This window comes from Homo sapiens, chromosome 2 (assembly GCF_000001405.40).
Source record: "Homo sapiens chromosome 2, GRCh38.p14 Primary Assembly".
Lineage (NCBI taxonomy): Eukaryota > Metazoa > Chordata > Mammalia > Primates > Hominidae > Homo > Homo sapiens.
This window is the reverse complement of record NC_000002.12, coordinates 172906070-172928414: the sequence shown is the minus strand read 5'-3', so window position 1 is coordinate 172928414 and position 22345 is coordinate 172906070. Positions and strand designations below refer to the sequence as shown.

Here is a 22345-nt window from a genome sequence, read left to right as displayed (position 1 = left end):
TACATTTCCTATTTACCATTTAGATGGATGACAACTACACGTCATTCCTAAAAATGCAATTAGCTTACCACTTCAGAAGCTAGAGAGAGAGATGGTATGGCTAGCTTTTGTAAGAGTTGAGGAACAGATGGAATAAAAAGCAGAAAGAAATTCAGCAACGACAGTCTGCCCCATAAAATGCATAACTCACAAGTACAAAAACAAACATTTCCTCAGAGACTGGAGAGCTGAAGTTGTTCTTGGCACCTTCAACATGAAGTCACGGTATTTTCTAGAAGGTGGGGCAAAATAAGTCCTGGCTCGGGGGTTACGCTTTCTAATAGGCCAGCTAATGAAAGGAGTATTTACACACTACACAGCTCACAGGATTGGGCCAGCAGCACTGCTAATCTAATCTTCATTTGGGTGATAAGCAATGTGTCCTTCAAAATCAGGACAAGATGGCTCAAGATTTTCAAAGCTTCAGCATTTTGTGGTTTCACTCTCCTATTAAAGTTTTGTACCCTGGCCAGTTACACGTGAGTTTCAGAACGGTAATGGCACTAGTGAGGCCACTGGTACCCTAGAGCAGAGGGACACAACTGCTAGGGGAACATCGGTGACACTGGCCAAGGTGTCTTCATAGGTTCAGCCTGGATCAATCATGTAAAGCAGGGTTTTAAAAACTGTGTTCCACAGAAAACAGTTTGAATTCAGTTGGTCCTCGAAAGGTGGAGTTGAAAGGGTTTATACAGCCTTATGGAATTATCTCTGATTGTTGGTTTTTTTCTTTTTTTTTTAGAGACAAGGTCTCACTCTGTCACCCAGGCTGGAGTGCAGTGGTACGATCCTGGCTCACTGTAGCCTCAACTCCTGGGCTTAAGCAATCCTTTTGCCTCAGCCTCTCAAGTAGTTAGGATTACTGGCATGAGCCATCAATTATCTGAATTTTTAATGTTTTAAGTTTGTATGAGGATACATAATTTCTTATTTCTTTATCTGGCCCAGAATTTCATTGTCTTAGCCAGTCTGTAGTGATAAAATGTTGTCATATAATAGGTGGAAAATATTCTAATTTGTTCTCTCTAACCTTAAAAAAGAGCAACAATAAAGTTAAATAAATGTTATTGTATTCCCTAAAAATTCCCCAAATTCCTAACCTTTTGACCCTCACAGTCAAAAGGTTCTTATTATTCTACTGCCCTTCCCTTAATGAGAATTTCCACAAACTGTGAAACTTATTTCCTTACTAGTTGCCATTTGAAACCTTACATCTTTATAATAATTTCTAAAACTTATTCTTCATATAAATGACCCATAGTTTTTAAAGTTTGAGAAACTCCTGCTTTAAGTAATCTCCTTAAGATGAGACTTGCCAAGTGGTTTGAGATGATCTCCAGGCTGGGTCATTACTAATTACTAGCAGGAATTCTTCTAGCACTTGGGAAACAACTTTGAGCTCCACATTGATGGTGATTTATAGCGAGAAAGCATTCTTCAGTATTTAGCAAAAAGCTTATTAATCATACTATCAATACTATAACTGCCTAAAAAATGAGGACCTCGGGCTGGGCGCGGTAGCTCACACTTGTAATCCCAGCACTTTGAGAGGCTGAGTCGGGCAGATCACAAGGTCAAGAGATCGAGACCATCCTGACCAACATGGTGAAACCTTGTCTCTACTAAAAATACAAAAATTAGCTGGGTATGGTGGCACGCGCCTGTAGTCCCAGCTACTCAGAAGGCTAAGGCAGGAGAGTCACTTGAACCCAGGAAGCAGAGGTTGCAGTGAGCTGAGATTGCACCACTGCACTCCAGCCTGGTGACAGAGCGAGACTCCATCTTGAAAAACAAACAAACAAACAAATAAACAAACAAAAAACTCACAAAAAATGAGGACCCCAGATGATCCTCTGGGAAACAAGATGTTTATAAATTAGGAAATGAGATTATGTTGTAATATCTCCGTGAGTCTACTTCTCCAGCTCCTTCCACACTAAAGTAAAGTATTACCTTCTAAAACTAGGAAACCCCATAGCAGTTGCCCTTTCAGAAGTATGGAGCACAATAAGCAACACAATCTGCATAAGTAGCCAAAAATTAAAGACAGGGTCATTATTCCAAAGGGCAACTGTAACATTCAGCATTCAACATTCAAGCTTTCTTATCATTGTGATTTTTAACTTCAGTGTTAAACATAGTCAGTCAGGTATAGCACATATAAAAGACAGAAACAAATACAACTTTAATAGATCAAAGAGAATTCCTTTAACAATCACAACCCTATCAAAATAATCAACTTGCTTTATTGGCTCCAAGGTTTTGCTTCCTTCCTTCTTTCCTTCTTTCCTTCCTGTCTGCCTGCCTGACTTCCCTCCCTCCCTCCCTCCCTCCCTCCCTCCGTCCCTCCCTCCCTCCCTCCGTCCTTTCTTTCCCTTCCTTCCTTCCTCCCTTCCCTCCCTCTGTCCCCCCTCCCCCTCCCCCTCCTTCCTTCCCTCCCTCCTCTTTCTTTTTTACTCTTTCTTTCTCTCTTTCTTCTTTCTTTCCTTTCTTTTCTTTCTCCTTCTCTCTCTTTTCTTTCCTTCCCTTCCTTCCTTCCTTCTTTCCTTTCTTTCTTTCTCTCTCTCTTTCTTTCTTTCTCTCTCTCTCTCTCTCTCTTTCTTTCTTTCTTCCTTTCTCTCTTTCTCTCTTTCTCTTTCTTCTCACTCGGTTGCCCAGGATAGATTGTCTAGTGATACAATTATGGCTCACTGTAGCCTCAACTTCCCAGGCTCAACTGATCTTCCTGGGACTACAGGTGTGCACCACCACATTCAGCGTGTGTGTGTGTGTGTGTGTGTGTGTGTGTACAGACAGAGTCTCACTATGTGTCCTGGCTGCGTGGTTGTTTTTCTAACATTTTTCTTGATATTTTGTAGGTTCCAGCATCCTGTATTATCTCACATTAAATGATGTCTCCATCAATTATAATAAATAGTAGACAAAATAATCCAGCAAGTAGCTGCCCATCCATTTATTCCTACAAAGGTGCAATATATGAAAAGGAATTTATTTTTGTGCAAGGTAAGCCTGAGTCTGAGAATAAAATGTAGCTGGCAAGGCAGCCACAAACAGCACTTGTTGATGTGTGCATATTTTATTAAAAGTTAAACATGGTGGCTGGGTGTGGTGGCTCACACCCGTAATCTCATCACTTTGGAAGGCCGAGGCGGGCGGATCATGAGGTCAGGAGATCAAGACCATCCTGGCTAACATCATGAAACCCTGTCTCTACTAAAAATAGAAAAAATTAGCCAGGCATGGTGGTGGGTGCCTGTAGTCCCAGCTACTCAGGAGGCTGAGGCAGGAGAATGGCGTGAGCCGGGAGGCGGAGCTTGCAGTGAGCTGAGATCATGCCACTGCGGAGCTTGCAGTGAGCCAAGATCATGCCACTGCACTCCAGCCTGGGCAACAGAATGAGACTCTGTCTCAAAAACAAAAACAAAAACAAAACAGTTAAACATGGTGATTAACAAAATGATGAGAAGCTGGGAAGGAGAATTTTTTTTTTCTACAAATAATCTGTTTGGACACTGAAACAATAGTCTAAATGTTTTTATTTCAGTCCACAGGCATATTATTGTTATTTTGAAACATAAGGGGAATATAATATTGCCCAGCATGTAGTTAAAGAAGCTGAAGGATAAAAGAAATCATCATAATACAACTTGTCTCCTACGAAATAAACATTTTCAATTAACACCACTTTAAGGCTCTTAAGCTTCTTTTTATCTTTCTAGCGCTTCAACTTTGCTCACGAATGTCTTTCATTTCATTTGCTGTACTTTGACTGATGGCATTGGAGAGCTTTCCTAATAACACATGGTGATGATACATCTACTCTATTTGCTAATAGAGAATTAAAGTGTGGTTCTCTGTTTGCTATAGAATCTGACCTACAATAGCCTAGACAAATACAAATAAATATATACTACTACTAGTATTAGGGAGATGGCCTGGCCAGTTCCCCAGATCTTTCAGAACAACATGCTAACAGTTCATTGTATCTGACGAGCTCATTGTTCTGCAAACTTTAAATTCCTATTTTGTCACAAAGTGAGCTACATGATGACAGCTGTTAGCCCTCTGCTTAGAGCCCTGTGCCTGTTGTTCCACTGCAGGGGGATCCCACCTAAAGGTCACTGGGTGCCCAAGAGCGACCACTTCCTTTTGGAGCCTAGAACATTTCAGCCCTCCCAGGGCTTGGACATTCTGTGTGAGCTCCCCACATCACTGATAGTCTGTTGATGAGGAAGGACAAGGCCTTTCTGTCTTCTTTATTTGGCAAATGATTTGTGTATTATTTGTTGTAGGATGGATAATTTGGGACATCCATGTCCAAAATGGTGGCAAGATCAGTTTGTTCCTTTAGAATCTTTATGAGCCTGATTTTCTAGAGCTTGACTCAACATACAAAGATTTTTTTTAAAGTTTTTTAAATATCAATAGCAAGGTTCACTGAAGAAGGGGCAGCCATAAAAGGCAAAAGGACAGTTAATTTATTAAAGGGTAGGACATTTTTCAGAGGTGAAGAGTAGCTAGAAAATGATACAAGACTTGAGAAAATACTAACCACATTAATAGCCCCAATGTTTACTGAGCCTACCTACTCTACTTGTCTGTGCTTTCTCCACAGATTATCTCATTCAATATTCATAATTTCCTTTTAAGGTAACATCCACATTTTAAAGAAGAGATGAGGATGTTTAGACAAATCAAGTAGCTTGGGCAAGACCACACAGCTAGGAACTGAAACCTTTGCCAGACCAAGCGAAGTAAATTTTGGTGTAACATTTGAAGTGACACTGCTAGGTCTTAAACCCAAGTCTGGCCAGGTGTGGTGGCTCATGCCTGTAATCCCAGCACTTTGGGAGGCCCAGGCTGATGGATCACTTGAGGTCAGGAGTTCGAGACCAGCCTGGCCAACATGGTAAAACCCCATCTCTACTAAAAATAAAAAATTGGCTGGGTGTGGTGGTGCATGCCTGTAATCCCAGCTATTCGGCAGGCTGAGGCAGGAGAATCACTTGAATCCGGGAGGCAGAGGTTGCAGTGAGCTGAGATTGCACCACTGCACTCCAGCCTGGGTGGCAGAGTGAGACTCCATCACAAAAAAACAAAAACCAAAATCAACCCCCACCTCCCAAGTTTGTAGTCCTATAGCAGTGGGCTAGAATTCCCAACCAGTCCTTTTAAAACTAATACTATGAAAAGAGGAAGAGCTAAAGCAAGCCAGAGACTGATATCTGAGAACGGATATGGAAATAATCTAAATTGAATTCAGAGAGTATATCTTCCCACAGACATGGGACCGAAAGCAGAGAAAGGCAAAGGTGACAATCCTGTAACGTTGCCACTTGGATACAGCAATCAAAGGACACAATTATAAGGTGACACATCTGAAAGCCAACCAAGCACTGCTCCCAATCAATCACTGCATACTCCTATCGTTAACCCTTCCATGTTGTTGTCTAAATTTAGATGTTAGTTAATAGAATGAATACTATTATTATTTGCATGCAAAGGTATGCCACTAAACCATGACCACTCTTGGAATGCTTGCTATTTCTTGGTGAAATCTTTGTCCTAAACCTTCTACTCTTTTACAGAAAGAATACAGTTTTACAGAAACAATTATAGCAATTAATCATTTTCAGTTTCCAAAGAGAAATGTTAACACTAGTGCACTTGTATATAATTAGACAAATTCATCAACTGACCCTGAATTTCATAGTTTGTATTCCTGCTAAGGAAAAACAACTAGTTTTCTATATGCTATTAGGCTAATGATTTGTTTGACTGCCATGTATGCATCATCAGAAAAAGAAAACACTTAGCAATTGTAGCATTTGCCCCTAGAATAACCTTTCTTCAGACTGGTTAAAATCAGGGACACGTGACGACCATGTCAGAGCAATCAACCTTCTCCCCTTTCTATTTCAAAGTGACTTGCCAAAGATGCCAGAATGAGATTAGAAAAATATTTATTGCTCTGTTGAATGTGGGTCAAGAGCTCTCTTTGTTGGTAGGGTTACCATGATTATTTTTTACCTTATAACAATTTTTAGAAGATAGGCAGAGAGAGTAGCTACTCACGTTCTCCTTGTCAGGAATCCCTAAAGGAGGAAAAAGAGACAGAGAGAGGCCATGAATTGTATAATCAACCGGTAAAGTGGAATTGAAATTTTGCTGAACCAAACCAAGTAAAATTTCAGTGTTTTCAATTTGCATTTCCGTGAAAACTTACATAATGCTGCTTAGAAATATAAAAACTTATATAATGCTGCTTAAATAAATCAATGAATCAGGAGCAGGGCCATGTGCCCAGACACCAAAACCCAGGCTTATTTTGCGTCTACCATATGGTTTACTTTCACAGAGGTAAATACCCATCACTGATTCATTCTCACCATGAAAACAACTAATTCCACTGATTTAGGCACCAGAACACTCGGAATTTTGGAAAGGCACATTAACTCCTAAGTTTCACATGCTGTGATTTTACTTTGCAAACCACTCCACTCGGCTCTAGTGATTTGAAGCTGGGGCAAGTAGCACATGAAAGACATTGGAAAACAACTTCCATTGTGAGCAAAGCAAATTCCTGCTATCTCCAAGCCAAGTCTGAGCACAGCAGAGGCTGTTTCCAGGGGTATCTCAGTGTTCCGAGCTAGAAGGCTAATGACTCATCCATTTGCTCATTTGTCATTGATTTACAAACATTTCATGAGTATCTACTACAGGCAGTCCTATTCCTTTTTACCTCCTTCAGGCTTCTCCCCTGGTAAGGGTGGCCACACTGGGAGGTTCTGTGACCTTATACAGAGGAGACAGAAGCATAGGTCATTTTTACATGTGGTTTGCACCTATCTTCAAACTAGTGGAGCAGTATGAGGTGGTTTGCAACAAAAAAATACAATAATCCAAATTCTGAGTAAACAGGACATTTTGTTTTTACACAAGGAGCTACACAGGATTTACAGTATCAGCATTAAAAGAACTGAGTGCTAGCTGGATGCAGTGGCTCACACCTGTAGTCCCAGAACTTTGGGAGGCTGAAGCAGGTGGATCTCTTGAGCCCAGGAGCTCGAGAGCAGCCTGGCCGACATGGTGAAGCCTGTCTCCACAAAAAACTAGCTGGGCATGGTGGTGCATGCCTGTAGCTACTTGGGAGGACCGCCTGAACCAGGTTTGGTTAAGGCTATAGTGAGCAATGATCATGTCACTGCACTCCAGCCTGGGTGACAGAGTGAGACCCTGACTAAAAAAAAAACAAAACAAAGACAAAAACAAAAAAGCAAAAAACCTGAGTGCTCATCCTAGTAGGCAGTAGTACAGAATGCAGGAGGGGTGAGGATGAAAGAGACTTTGGAAACATTCCCTAATTGAAGCTTTGATCCACACCTGGGACCACACAAGACATAAAAACGCAGTCAGAAAAGAGGCAGAGAAGAGCTATTCTCTGAAACAGAGAGTATTAACAGGCTCGCTATCACTTCCCAGGTCTGTCAGAAAGAGGAAGGATGGCCTCAGGTCAGCACTCTGAAGCTCATCCCAAATCATCCATTCATCCATCCACCCATCCATCATCCATCTGAAAGAACTAGGGTTGATTGTATGAGGTTATGGGATATAACAGAAGCTTACTTTCTAGCAGGTTCAATAAGATAAATACACAGTTGCACAAATCACCATATATGAGTAGCTGGAAATTAGGGTATCTGTAGAGAAATGACACTGAAAAGGTGATTTGAGGCCACACAGGAACTTGACAGTTGGGCTAAGACATTAATAGTCTTGGAATTTCACCTTCCATGGCAGGCAATGGATGATCATTGAAAGGTTTCAAGCAGCAGAGTGATATGATCAGGAGAAAGGAGGGAAGGAGACTGTCTAACATTAAAAGACGTTTAAGACATAACACCAGATGACCATAGCATGGCCCTTGACTGAAGTCCAGTTTGAGCAATCAGCAATAAAGACATTCGGTTGGGAACATTTGAATATGGATTGGGTGGCGGATGTTACTAAGGAAAATCATGCCAGCTATTAGGTGTGATTGTGGTGCTCTGGTTACACATGAAAAAGTCCTTATTTTCAAAAATGCCTGGTGACATATTTGGAGTGACGTGTATATGTGATTGTGATTAGAAGAAAAAAAATGTCAAAAATAATATTAAAATGCATATTAATTTACTACTAAGAAATATATTGAAGTATTAAACTATTGACATCAGTTAAATGAAAGTGATGAAAATAAGGGTGTTAACTGTATCATTCTCTCCACTTTCTGTATGTTTGAAATTTTTCATAATAAAAAGTAAAAAATGTCTTGGGGAAATCAGGCCTAGACTAGACCAAGGGTGAGATAGTGAAGGTTCACAGCCAGTTGACTCATCTCTGCCCTAAAATCCAAAGAGATGAGGCCCAAGGCCAGGTGGCTGCAGAGGGAACTGAAAGGAAGACTGTGAACATGCAAAGGAAGGGCGCTGGGCCCGGGCAAGCAGGGGTGATGGCGAGAGAAAGGAGGAGTCCAAAATGGCTGAGGTTTGGAGCCCAGCACAAGAGGAGAACAATGGAATTGTCAGAAACCGGCCTCTCCAGAGGAGGGGCTGGTTTTGCGGGAATCAGAATGTGTTCCCTTATCAACATTTTGAGCTTGAGAGGCCAGCAGGACAACCAGGTAGAAAAAGAACCTGAGGTCACCTGGAAACTTAGGCTGCCCCTGGAAGGATCAAACAGAGGTGTTGGTTTGGGAAGTGTTTGTATCAGTTGCAGGAAAGGATGCCATGGAAGAGGGGAGAGTGAGTATGGAGAAGGAAAGAGAAAAGAAGCCATGGCTAAACTCTTCCATAAGCGGGGGAAGAAGTACCTATGGAAGAGACCAAAATGTGAGTGGCCAGAGAGAGAGGAGGAAGCCAGGATAACACAGTGGTGCCCCGGGAGCCAAGGCGGAATGGAGTCTGGACGTGGGCAACGGGAATGATCAGGTCTGGTTATTGGTTGGTCACTGGTAACTTTAGAGTGGTTTATTCAAGAAGTATGGGGCAAAATCCAGACTTTGAGGGGTCGAAGAGTGACTGGAGGTGAGGAAATAGCCTATGCCATTTGGGAGCTTTTTACATGCCTGGCACCCTTTGAAACAACATACTTTGATTCACTTGATCTTCACAACAACCCTCTGAGGAAACCAAGGCACAGAGAGACTACGTGCCTTGCCAGATGTCAGCTAGAAGACAGCATTGCTGGGATTGCAACTCAGGTGCTTTAATTAGCCAGCCATCCCTGGCTCAGCCAGGAGAGAAAGAAAGCAAGAACAAGAGAGGAAAGGAAGGATGAACCTGTCCCTCCCACCCTCCTCCTCTGCAGGAAAGCAGAAGGCAAATGGGGAGACAGGGCAGAGGCTGCATAGAAATAGTGAAATGCGGGGAGGAAAATGAGGATGTTCACTCAGGATTGCGGTCAAGCAGGGAGAGAGATCTCTTGCAGTGAGTGACTGGTCAGCGAGGGAGGGTGGGAATTCTAGGATCCAGGAAGAGGATCTGAAGGGTGGCTGGCTGTGGCTCTGAAGATGCAGGGACTACCTGCTGCATCACTGGGTCTGCTGGCTGAAGCACTATAGCTCCAAAGACTCCAGGACCTGGAATCTTGTTATATGTGTACACACAAGAGCTTCATAAGGAGACTCACAGATGCAATGGTAACGAACGCTAACCATGTTTCCGACATGCATGAACAGATCAAAAGACTCAGGGGACATACGGGTTTCTTTGAGTTTAGTGGGGACCCACTAGAGAAGAATACCACAGAGAAAAACTTCGTTTCTTTGCTGACCAGCCAGAGACTGGTCTCTCATAAAAGGCCTGGATGTTTTAAATTAAAAATATTTAATATGTACAACACATTGTTTTGATATACATATACCTAGTGAAATGACTACTCCAGTTAAGCAAATTAACCTATCTGTCACCTTCCATAGTCACTTTGTGTGTGTGTGTGTGTGTGTGTGTGTGTGTGTGTGTGTGGTAAGAGCATCTAAAGTTCACAAAGGCCTGGAATTGGAAGAGGCCATGATTTAGAAGATTAAATAAATGACTCACCCCACTTCTCCTCTTCATCAATAGAGTAAAAAAAAAAAAAAAAAAAAAAGCAAGAGGTGGGGCTCTCAGGTATCCAGATGGGACTGAAACAAATACAGTTCGTGCATCCCTTCTTTAAAAGGGCACAGAAAGAACACTGGATTTCACTATAAGATGAAGATATTTTGGGAAAGTATTCTATGCATGCCAAAGTTCCAGCTGGCACCAGAGCATACCTCTCTCTATCAGCTAAGACCACAGACTAATACTATATTAACCATTTCTTTAAAAATATCTCCAGTGTGAGCTGGCAGGTTTGTTTATCCACAAAAGAGTCTGGAGACTTACTCTGACAAGCTGGTGTAGGACATATTTTTTGTCACATGAAAACACATACCACACGACAAATTTTTAGATACAAAATGTTCACATTTTCCACTTACTGTCATTGTTAGAGCCCGTTTCCATAACACCATAAGGAGGAGCCAGAAGTCCTGCCATATACTGTCGATATTTCTGAAAGACAAGATTGTAAACTCAACACACAGATATTTACTTGCTTTGAGCATTCATTTATTTACATGTTAAAAAGCAGAAATGCTGGGTGTCAGGAAGCATCTGAGCCTTGTATTTATAGAGCCATGAAACGTGTTCTCCGGGGTCTCTGGTCTGAAATAAAGATGTTGTGTTCTAAACAGGTCTTCCTGAATAAGACTGAATGTGCCCGGGGGCAGGGGTTCTATCTCCGCCAGTTCATTTATATATCTGTGGCTGCCTGAATTGTGTGGGATATTTAGCACCCCCTGCACCCCTCCCCAACCCCACAAACACAAGCTCAGCTTTTTGTAGAGGGAAAAGGCACTCGAGCTTTATAGATGCAGATACAAATAAATGTGCTGCCTACTTAATAGGTGAATGGCACTGAATCAGCTTCTTTCAAAGCAAAAAGAAACGCATCTTGAGAAAAATGTCTTTTTTGAAAGAAGCTGATTCGCTTCCATTTACCTACTTCCTTTTACATCGTACACCTGCCTGTTTATGTGACCTCCAAAGAACTTTTGCTATGTGTCAAATAAAATAGTTTAGCTTAATTTAGAACTATTTGGATTCCCCTGAATTGTAACTGCCTGACTTTTGGTCCAAGCTTGCTCTAAAACCTGGCACTTAGCATAAGGTATTAGCCCCAGGAGTCTGTGCTGTTTAGGAGGGATAAGGCTTGGTGAGAATAAAGCCATCTAGAGCATCCAACTAGAGAGGAGTGACATTTATAAAGAATGGAAAATGAATATTAGCCACCCTCTCTTCTCAGGTCATAAATACAATCTCCTCCCCTTTCAGAATGGAAGCTGGGCAATTTTATTTATTGCATGGTGTCATGTATATTTATGGTTTATAATTACGATGACACATACATGTTAAATAGCATCAAAAGAATCAACACTCCATAGTGTGCTTGTGGGTTGCACAAACGTCAGCAGAAAAGACTTCATCTGTAGCAATGGGCAGCTGGCAGCACGCAGTATTGGGGCAACCATCTGGCCCATTTGGTAGATTTGAATGGCGTTTGTAATGTGACATTGATGCTTTCTCAAAAGAGCCTTCTTCTAGTCAAGATGTAACTAGCTTTTTAAAAATTCTTTTTTTCTTCTCATTCTGAGGCAACTATACCAACACCTGCATGCAAACATTAAAACCATGATTTCCTCAGCCTCTGAGCTAAGTGATCACTCAGACATACCCACAGGACCAATATATCACCCTGCATTCCTGATATTTCCTTAGATCATTTCTTAATTCTGATTCTCTTCTTTCTTATGAGACACCATCTACTCTTCTTCTTCTTCATGAGACAGCATTCACTAAGCAGCACATTTCTGGGCTTCATATTATGCTGGACTGTAAACAAAACAGGCCCAGAGAGAGCAGAGGAGGACTGGTTATGTTGTAAGGTTTTGTGACTCCTGATTACCATTATCAACTCCCTAACAGGCTCCTAAAAGAAATACTTCCTGTTAAATTGAAGGGGCCATTTCACTTTGCTTAGAAATATTGTCTTGGATGTGACGGGTGTTCTTTGTCTCAGGCACCTTAATGTCAATCCCCATGAGCTCCACGGAAGCACCTTCCTGATCCCTGAATGAATGGGACTTCATCTTCCTTCAAGCCCCATAGCACCTGGTCTGTTGCTGTCTTGTGGAGCACACCATCAGGGTCGCTGCTAGTGGGAACAGAAACTAGAGCAGCCCTGTGGGCAGGAGTGTGTGGGCTGGATTCCAGGACTTGTGCATATTGAGCATCTACTATGTACAGTGTCTCAGGATGGGCTTACAGTACAGAACAAGTAAACAAGGTCCTGTGCACTTGTGAAATGTCCATTTTCTTCAACACAGGGAACTATGTCTTGCACATAATACAAACTTAGTACTTATCTGTTGACTCTCTAAATTTTTCTAGAAAATTTCAACAGATACAGAAATAGAATACCACATACTCCACATTCAACTTCAATAATTATTAACTCATGACCAATACTATTTCATCTACACATTTATCCACTTACCCCTTCTAGAATTATTTTGAAGCAAAACTCAGATATCTTTTTTTTTTTTTTTTTGAGACAGGGTCTCACTCTGTTGCCCAGGCTGGAGTGCAGTCGAGCAATCTCGGCTCACTGCAACCTCTGCCTTCCCAGTTCAAGCAATTCTCCAGCCTCAGCCTCCAGAGTAGCTGGGACAGGACCACAGACACACACCACCATGCCTGGCTAATTTTTTTTTTTGGAGAAACAGAGTTTCGTCATGTTGTCTAGGCTGGTGTCGAACTTCTGAGCTCAAAGCAATCCACCCGCCTCGGCCTCCCAAAGTGCTGGGATTACAGGCTTGAGCCACCATGCCTGGTCAGATATCATATCATTTAATCCATAATTATTTCAGCAGGAATTTCTAAAAGATAAAGACTCCTTTTTCCCAAAATAAAACCACAATACCATTATCACAGCTAAAAAATGTAATATATCCATAATATCCAGTTGATGGTCAAACTTTCTAATTGTTTCATTCATGTCATTGCTGAATTGAATTTAAAAATAATTCATTTAATAAGACAACATGGGTTCCAGCATAATAGCTTTTAGTATAGTGAAGATTACCAAATTAGGGTTGAAATATTTATACTTGTAAATTAAAAGTCAGTCCTTAAAATTGATGGGGCACTTTTTAATAAACATTCACTAAACCTGGGAGATTCATTCTTATGTAGCACCCTGCAGAACGCTCTATATTAATTAGGATAAAAACAGCTAACTAGAATAAAACCTGTATCAGAAAATTGGGATTTCTAAATTATTTGCATATAGCTTGATCTTTGGGCAGCATTTCATCTTCCAAGCACAAATTTAAAAAGCAGTTCATAAAAGAAAATACCATATGAAAAGATGCAGAACCTCACTCATAACAGAAAGGCACATAAAAACTACAGCGCAATATAATTTTTTAATCTGTCAGAATTGGCAAAGTTCCAAAAAGTTTGCTAATACACTATTGGTGAGAATGAAGCAAACATGTTATCTCATATATTGCTTATAGCAGTGTAAAATGATACAACCTCAGAGGCAGGCAATTTGGAAATATCTGTGTAATTCTTTTTCTTTTTCTTTCTCCCTCTTTCTTTCTTTCTATATTTCTTTCTTTCTCTTTCTCTCTCTTTCTCTTTTCTTCCTCTCTCCTTTCCTCCCTCCCTCCTTCCCTTCCTCCCTCCCTCTCTTCCTCCATATTCAGTGGCCAGTGACTAGATCTATCAAATTTTAAAATGCATATTTCCGGCAGGGCGTGGTGGCTCAGGCTTGTAATACCAGTTACTTGGGAGGGTGAGGCGGGAGAATCGCTTGAACCAGAAGGTGGAAGTTGCAGTGAACCAAGATCGTGCCATTGCACTCCAACCTGGGCAACTGAGTGAAACTCTGTCTCCAAAAAAAAAAAAAAAAAAAAAAAAAAAAAAAATGCATATTTCCTTTGACTGAGCTAGGAACCTCCCTCAGAGGGCAGATGCAGAGTCTCCTGAAATACCTGAATACATATGCAAACACATGTGCTTGTATGTAATAGTAAACCAAACAACAACAAAACAGGAAATTACTCAAATGTCCATTAGTAGAGGACACTGGGTTATTTTCTGAGACGATGATGGGTTATTTCTTGATAAATAGATGCTGTTGGAATAGTATGACGCCATGACAAAGAATGAAGCGGCACTACTTATATACAGATATGGAATGATCTATTGCTTTTAAATTTAAAAAGCAAACTACAGCATGGTGTATATACCATTTTGTGGGAATAAAAGATGTTTGTGTGTGTGAATATACATAAAGATCTGTAAATGTGTAGCTATCTACAAGAAAGTAGTAACCAGGATTGTCTCTGGAAAAGAGATCTGGGTGGCTGAGGGTCAAGCAGGAGAGAGACTTAGTTTTCACTATTCATTCTTTAGAACTTTTGACTTTTATTCCATGGGACTCAAGAACGGTTGATGTTCTTCTCTATTTTACATGTATTATTAAACTCTCTAATAGATTTCAAATGAAATGGAAGAAAGGATTCTACCAGTAAGACATCAAGCAAACAAACAAAACAAAAAACCATACAAACAATCAAAACAAAAAAAATTTTAAAGGAAGGAGTTAGAGAAAATAAGAGCTTATATATGAGTGCTCTGGTCAACTCTCCCAGCTGACTCCAGCCTTGGAGTCATTCCAACCCAGGAGCCAACACATGAGTGAAGACGCCTCCAGATAATTCTAGCTCCCAGCTAGCCAAGTCACCTCCAGCCACTCAAGTCACTTTTGTCATTCAAGTATTCGCAGATGAGGCTCCAGACAAGTTATTCCCCACAGCATCCTGTTCAAATTTGTGACCCACAGAAATCTGTGAGCATAATGAAGTGATGGTTGGCAAATGCTGTTAAGTTTGGCATGGTTTGTTACACAGCAATAGATAACTGAAGCAGAATTTGATACCTGAAAGTGAGGTGGTGGTACAACAAAACCTAAGATGTGTGGCATGAATTTTGGGAGGAAGCCTGATGGGGCTGGCGGAGATTTGATGACAGTTTAAAGAAGAGTGAGGGCTGGGCGCAGTGGCTCATACCTGTAATCCCAGCACTTTGGGAGTCTGAGGCAGGTGGATCGCCTGAGGTCAGGAGTTCAAGACCAGCTTGGCCAACATGGTGAAACCCCATCTCTATTAACAATACAAAAATGAGCCAGGCATGGTGGTGGGCGCCTGTAATCCCAGATAGTTGAGAGGCTGAGGCAGGAGAATTGCTTGAACCCGGGAGGTGGAGGTTGCAGTGAGCCGAGATTGTGCCACTGCACTCCATCCTGGGCGACAGACAAACACTCCATCTCAAAAAAAAAAAAAAAAAAAAGAGTGAGGGAGGCATTAATGGAAGATGGAAGACACTCACACTCACCCTTGTTTTGCAGTGGTGGAAAGTTGAGCAAAACTGATGCCTGCAGGAATGTGGAAAATGAAAAGTGCCCCTGAGGAACTGATGGATCTAGCCAAAGAGGCTTCTAGGAAAAATACCCGTGGCAGCTGCTTTCTCTTAGCTGTATATTTTAAGGTGCATACACAGATGAGCTAACAAAGGAGTCATTTAGTTTGTATTCAGAATTTAGAGTAAATATAAATTAGGGTCTAGGACTTGCAGAGTTCAAAAATAAAGCTATTTCTAACCACTCTCAATAAAATATTTTCAAAGTTAGAAAGGGCCTCATGACAAAGATCAAATATAGGGCATTGGCAGGAAAACAAAGCCTCAGAGTAAGGAGGCCAACTGTGCAACTGTAAAACCCTGCTTTAAGACTTCAGAAAGATTTAAGGTGGTGCTTCACAGATTGTTTTAGATACGCAAAAGACTTTTTAAAAGAATCTTAAGGATGCTATATCACAGTAACCACAAAAAGGTTCAAAGTAGGAAAAGGCTTATGCAAAGATGCACATGGGTATGGTTTTGTCTAATGAAATGGATGATAAATTGATACATAAGAAACCTATTAAGATTTTCAACAAATTACACTATCCTGGACTGTAAGAAACAGAGACAGTAACTAATAAAAAGAATCCTTTGGACCCTTCAAGTTCTATGAGCAGGAAGCAGGCTGAGAACTACTCAGCTACAACACAGAATATGTTTTATGAAAAGAGAACATGATTCAGAAGGTAGAACTAAAAACCCAGAAGGCAGAATCAGACTGGGTGTGGTGGCCCACACCTGTAATCCCAGCACTTTGGGAGGCAGAGGTGGGAGGATTGCTTGAGGCCAGGAGTTCGAAACCAGCCTGGGCAACATAGCCAGACCTCATCTCTACAACAAATTAAAATATTAGCCAGGCCTGGTGGCGTGTACCTGTAATCCGGGCTACTGGGGAGGCTGAGGTGGGAGGATCACATGGGCCCAGGAGTTCCAGGCTACAATGAGCTGTGATCACTGCACTCTAGCCTGAGTGACAGAGCAAAAATCCTGTCTCTTATGAAAAAAAAAAAAAAAAAAAAAAAAAGGCTTAGCACAGTGGTTCATGTCTGTAATCCCAACATTTTGGGAGGCCGAGGCAGGCAGATCACTTGAGGTCAGGAGTTTGAGACCTGCCTGGCCAACATGGTGAAACCTCGTCTCTACTAAAAATACAGAAATTAGCTGGGTGTGGTGGTACACGCCTATAATTCCAGCTACTCGGGAGGCTGAGGCAGGAGAATCCCTTGAACCCGGGAGGTGGAGGTTACAGTGAGCTGAGGTTGCACCACTGTACTCCAGACTAGGTGACGGAGTGAGACTCTGTCTCCAAAAAAACAAAAAAGGCAGAAAAGCCAGGAGCCACAGAAAACAACTCCCGGAAACTAGAATTGGACCTGATGCCATTTGCCCAGCTGGACTTCAGAATTGCTACAGATTGGTAACTTATGTGCCACATATTCCAACCTTTCCCCCGTGTTAAGTGAGAATGTCTGCTGCAGTTTCCCTATCCCCTATACCCATTGTTTGCTGGGTGTGGGGGACACGTAACTTGTCTCTTTCATTCATAGGTCTGAGATTGAGAAGAAGCATCATCAGGGAACTGTACCTAAGAAACAGCATTCAAGGTGCCTCATCCACATCCAGATCTGATTTAGCTGATGGGATCCTGGACTTTGAGTTGACGCCATAACAGGAACAACTCTGGGAGTCTCAAGAAAGGACAGAGTGCATTTCGGATGTGGGAGGGGTTGTGAACTGTCGTGGCCAGACAGTGGACTGAGGCAGCCTGCCTTTTCTAAAGATGAATATAACACTATCTCTCACCCCATACGCTTTCCTGAAAGGTGATGCTCTCTTTCCTTCATCAATAGGGACCATCTAGTTCCCCTCCTTTTGAACTTGGGCTGACCTGTGTGATTCTGTTGTAACCAATAGGATGCAGCGGATGTGATGCTGTGTGACTTCCCAGGTTAGGTCAGAAGAAGCCTTGCAGCTTCTCCTTGGTCTCCAGGAACACTTGGTCTCGAAATGCTCTCTCCTGGGGTGCTGCCTCTCAGCAGCCATCTGCCACACTGTGAGAAGCTAAGCTGCATGGGGAGACCACACCGAAGTGCTCTGCTCCACAGTCCAACTGAGGCCAGCCTCTGAAGCCTCCAAATGATTCCAGCCCCCAGGTGCTCAGATCAACTCCAGCCATTCAAGTCTCCCCAGCTGAGGCCAAGACAGTGTGGAGCACGGGCAAGGCATCCCTTTGTGCCCTTTTCAGATTCCTCAGGGAATCCATACATATAATAGAATGGTGGTTGCTTCATGACACTACATTTGGTGTGTTTGGTTAGACAATAGATAAAAGGAATAGTAGAGACTAAATATATGCAATTGGAAGATCTGGCTTCTACAATGAATAAGCAGGGCTGGAAGATCACCTTGGAAGTTAATGAGCCACATTCAACAGGGAAGCTGTAGAGTTTATAGCCCTCAAAGTGGTGTGCAGACACTATTTGTGTTCATGGGGTGCAATGGAGAAACTGTCTAGAGGTTATTGGAGAGGATTGGGGCATAAGGATTCTAGGTTTTCAAGGTGACAACTGCTAAACCAGATGGCACCATGTCTATGTGGCCTAAAATAGATGAGAGCCAATGGTACAATTTTGGGAGCCCAAGCCTGAAGCGCTCTTTGCTGAGCAAACACTGAGGCCATGGAATCACCCAATGTGTCTGTCTGGCAAGGGGCTGGACTGATGGGGCTGGTCTGCAGCCAAATCACAGAGCACGCATGGCACCTGGCAGCAAGGGTCATGCCCACAGTGGCATGAGCAGACAGTCCTCTCTCTTTGATTATCCCATGCAGCGGTGGGGTAATTCCCTTCCGCTGTAAAATCCTCCTGAGGTAGAGGGATTTGGGGAGTTAGACACTGGGCAGTCTTCTAGTAGGCCTTATTGGTGTTTAGCTGATGAATTGAAAAAAATAAAAGAGAGATGACCATATCAGTAATGCTAGGTTGTGAAGCAGTTCATATCTTTATAGAAGTTTAATAGTCACTTCAAGTTCTCTGAAAATCAAAATGAAACTTAAGGGGATTGCCAAGCCTGTGCTCAATAAGGCCCGCACATATAAGTCAGCACAAGTCAGCTTAAACCTGGGGTCAGCAGTGGTTCCGAGGTGACTCAGCAGGTCTTTATGTGGCCCCCACATGCCCTCCACACTCCGGCTGTGGAGGTGTGTGGTGGCCTGGCTGAGCTCTTGGACAATGTCCTCTCTGGGGCCCTGGTGCACTTCCCCCTGTAAACCCTTTCCCTGGATCCCAACACACTCTAACACCTTAACAACATCAATGACCTCACTCAGTCGTTTTTCAAATTGCTATATGCACTTGGGAAAGAGCTATGTCTTTGGCTCAAGTCCTACAATGATAGAGAGTTAGCAGAGATAAATCAATAGTCAGGTGAAGAACAGAGTAGAACACTGAATCAGTGCTTTGAGGTGGAGAAGGGAATGGTGAGCTCTAGTGTTACTCCAAAACTCTTGCGTGGTGGCCTTGAGGATGCATGCCTCAAGCAACACTTGGGAGGGCTCAGGCTTTTGTTACAGAGCATCCTGCTCATGTCCAGAGAAGCTTCTACAAGGCCCTTCCGAGAGGTGGGTGGCTTGTGCAGCAGGTCACCAGTCTGGATTGAGTTCTGTCTCTGAGGCCCAGGGCACCAGTCTCACTCCTGACACTGAGGCCACCCTGCCATGGTGCTAATACACGTGGGAGGCCCCTATCAGGAGGACTCATGCACACTCCCTGTCCAAACCCTCCAGGACCCCTCCAGGACCTCTAAAGGCAGTTAGGAAATCAATTCTTCAAATGACAAGAAAACCTCAAGGACTTTCAAGGGTCTTAGAAGCACTTGGCCGGCTTGGCTCCTTACTGCTAATCAGTTGGGTCATTGCAGACAAGTCCCTCAAGCTCTCTGGCTTCAGTCTCCCCATCAGTAAAATGAGTGCTTTGAATTAGATCCATTCTGTAGAATCTGTACTCCCTGGAGTACCCTCAGCCGAGGGCACACCACACAAGCATGGCCTTCAGCCCCAATGATCACTAGAGTGTCTTTATTTTTTGTTTCATAAATTAAAGTTCCAAGAATAGTTTCATTTGAAAAATGACTTTGGATCCTAAAAAATAAGAGTTTACAAACCACAAGATTAGATCATCTCTAAACTTCCAGCCAGACAAGATGTCACTCAAAGATCTACATGAAGCATCAACAAAGACCAATTTAGGATTTGTCTACGAAGTGTTAGGGACTCTACCCTCTGTTAAGATGACTTCTATGGTTGTGGTTTGGCCAAGTGACAGTTTTCACCTTAACGGAAAGGTTTGTCAACAAAAACTGGTAGTAAGAATTTAACTGAGATGCATCACAGTGCAGTGCTGACCTTCACAACCGAGGTGTGCAGACACCCAGTGTGGGACCCAGCAGAGCAGAAAGGGATGTGAGAAGAATAAACAGGAGCTCTTCCTGGAGCTCAAATTTTATTCTATGTCAAGTAGTTTAAAGGATTATTTTTATACTTTTATATTATGGAGTAGAAAGCTAAATTTGCATAAATTTTAAAGATTAAAGCATGAGACTTCAAAGAAATTCTGATCTGGCTGCTGGCTACTTCTAGCTACAAAGGGTATAGACCCCAGGCATTATGTATTGATTTCCTCTGCATTTGGGAGCTTCAGTGGAAAAAGCCAAGAACCTCTGATGTTACGGAAAGTGTGCAGACATTTAAATCACACAAGACTGGGGTCTTAATTCCGATTCCACTACATGCTACTTGTGTGAACGTGGGTCAGTTACTTACCTCAGTCTCTTGGGTAAGGAAACTGGGATAACAGCACCATCTTTCAGGACCATTGTGAGGATGAGAAATAAAATCTATAACAGTTCCCTGCACATATCAGGCACTTAGTAAATGGTTCTGGATAGTAGTAGTAATAATAATAATAATGGTAGTTGTAACAATAAACCAAGGATTAAGTGAACCCCAGTATATTTGATGATATTTTCCAACCAGATAGTCTCCAGCTTTGAGAAAGAATATTTTCTGCATTACAGCTTCACATCACTGAGGCTGTTGATATGCATACAATGACCCACAACACACCTACTGATCATCTGCTAAATGGACCTGTGGGAAAATAAGAATTTAAATAATAGACTTTCTTAAATAATTTTATAATGTACCACCTGTTTTTCACCCACATGGTAAAATAGTTCAACAAGAAAGCAACAAGTTCCAAAGTGATGGAGAAACGAAGAGCACAAGAGAGAAAGCCCAGAAATAACCTAACAAACACAAGCAAAGCCTTTCTGCCCTCTGAGCTGTTTGTTACTAAGAGACTCCTTTAAAAAAATTAACCTGTCAATTACAATTGGCCAGTTTTTAGAGCAAAGTAAGTGCCTGTGGCTCAGAATAGAGGGAAGAGGGAAGGCAGAAAGAAGGGATGGGAAGGGACAGAAGTCCTCAGGCCAGTGAGGCCAGATGCCTGTCCCCAGATTGAGTTGCAAATGTATTATTATACTGACAAATACAATATTAGTATACAGACTATACTAATATTTTCTAATATGAAACAAAAGATGACAGTCTTAGAAAGGTTGAAACCTGGTCTACCTCACAGCCAATCAATTGTCTCCATCAAGAGCACTGAGGAATTCTGGCTGGAAGGCTGGCAGAGCAACCACCAGACTGGGGAAGGGGTGGTGGGGATAAACCCAGCTCTGCTGAACAAGCCTTGAGCCCTGGCCTGGGGCTGCTCCTGCCTGGGGCAGGGAGCCCCTTTTTATAATGTGCACGAAGTCTCCATATGGCCTAGAGGTAGCCCAGGAGCTGGCATACAAAAGTTGGGTGGCATCTCCTGAAGGAGGAGACATTATAGAGGCATGTCACTTTCTGAGACTCAGTTTACAAAGCAAGATGCAGAGAAGAAAGGAAGGCTGGCAGCTTGAACTGAGCTGAGCCATCTGACAAGTGAAGACAGGGTCCTGGCAGGCAGGACTCCCTACTGTGGAGGTCAGGGCCTTCCTGGCACTCTGTGAGGCCTTTTCTGGGTGTTCTCCAAGCTGCTGTCCACTGCCAAGGAGGAGCCTCCACCAGGCAGGCCAGAGTGGCATGCAACTGCTGGCACCCAGCGGCTACCACATTCCCACCCAGATGCTGCCTGAGCTTTGGGCACACCCCTTCCCACAACTGTCCCCTTGCTTTCCCCCTCCTCCTGGGCTATCATCAGGCTGTAGCGAAAGCATCAGAAGCTCCCTGGGGATATGTCTGAAACCCCTTGGCTGGGATAATCAGCACCAGAAAAGCATTAAAAACAGGAAGCCACAGGGATAATTGACAGGCATTGCTGCAAACACCTGGGGTGGGGGTGTGCTCAGAATAGGGACAGAATAAGGAGAGGCAGCGTCCAGGATTGGGGAAGAATAACACAGGACTGTTCTGGGGATGTGGGGATGTGTCTCATCATAAGGTCCCATTCATTATGTTCCACTAGGTTCTCCCAATATACTAAAGCTGAGATCATAAACTGTCATGACAAAGAACAGGTCATCTGTACTTTCTCTGAAAGCCTCATGATTAGACAGTAGAATAGCTTAGAAGAGTGACATAATGTTTAGACCCTTTTTTTCTGTTTCTTGCCCAGAGTTCTTTCACAACCTCTAGATGATATGAAAATGGACACAACACATGGCTC

The 22345-nt window shown here is 42.6% G+C and overlaps 1 protein-coding gene across 30 annotated transcripts in view, besides 2 other annotated features; it reads right to left on the bottom strand.

Moving 5' to 3' along the window:
* The window catches only part of RAPGEF4 (Rap guanine nucleotide exchange factor 4), a 317576-nt gene that overhangs the window by 124479 nt on the left and 170752 nt on the right, over positions 1–22345 (bottom strand). For 24 of the 30 annotated variants that reach the window (NR_164739.1, NR_164740.1, NR_164741.1 and 21 more), the window contains 2 exons: positions 10541–10613; positions 6115–6134 (listed from right to left, as the gene is read on the bottom strand). The exons of 1 other annotated variant lie outside the window; for it this stretch is intronic. Coding sequence is in view for 24 of the 29 variants with exons in the window: in NM_001375864.1 (NP_001362793.1) it covers positions 6115–6134; positions 10541–10613 (93 nt within the window). In the remaining 5 variants the exon portion in view is untranslated. Of the gene's footprint in view, positions 1–68; positions 264–6114; positions 6135–10540; positions 10614–22345 lie in introns of those variants that run through there. 5 more of the 30 variants (XM_047443028.1, XM_047443029.1, XM_047443033.1 and 2 more) reach the window with 3 other exon arrangements.
* Positions 21231–21734: an enhancer, noted in NCBI's record as "H3K4me1 hESC enhancer chr2:173771409-173771912 (GRCh37/hg19 assembly coordinates)". NCBI's record gives its function as "activates a minimal SCP1, AML or CMV promoter by ChIP-STARR-seq in naive H9 embryonic stem cells {active_cell/tissue: H9 hESC(naive)}" and the evidence as "EXISTENCE:reporter gene assay evidence [ECO:0000049][PMID:30033119]".
* Positions 21735–22240: an enhancer, noted in NCBI's record as "H3K4me1 hESC enhancer chr2:173770903-173771408 (GRCh37/hg19 assembly coordinates)". NCBI's record gives its function as "activates a minimal SCP1, AML or CMV promoter by ChIP-STARR-seq in naive H9 embryonic stem cells {active_cell/tissue: H9 hESC(naive)}" and the evidence as "EXISTENCE:reporter gene assay evidence [ECO:0000049][PMID:30033119]".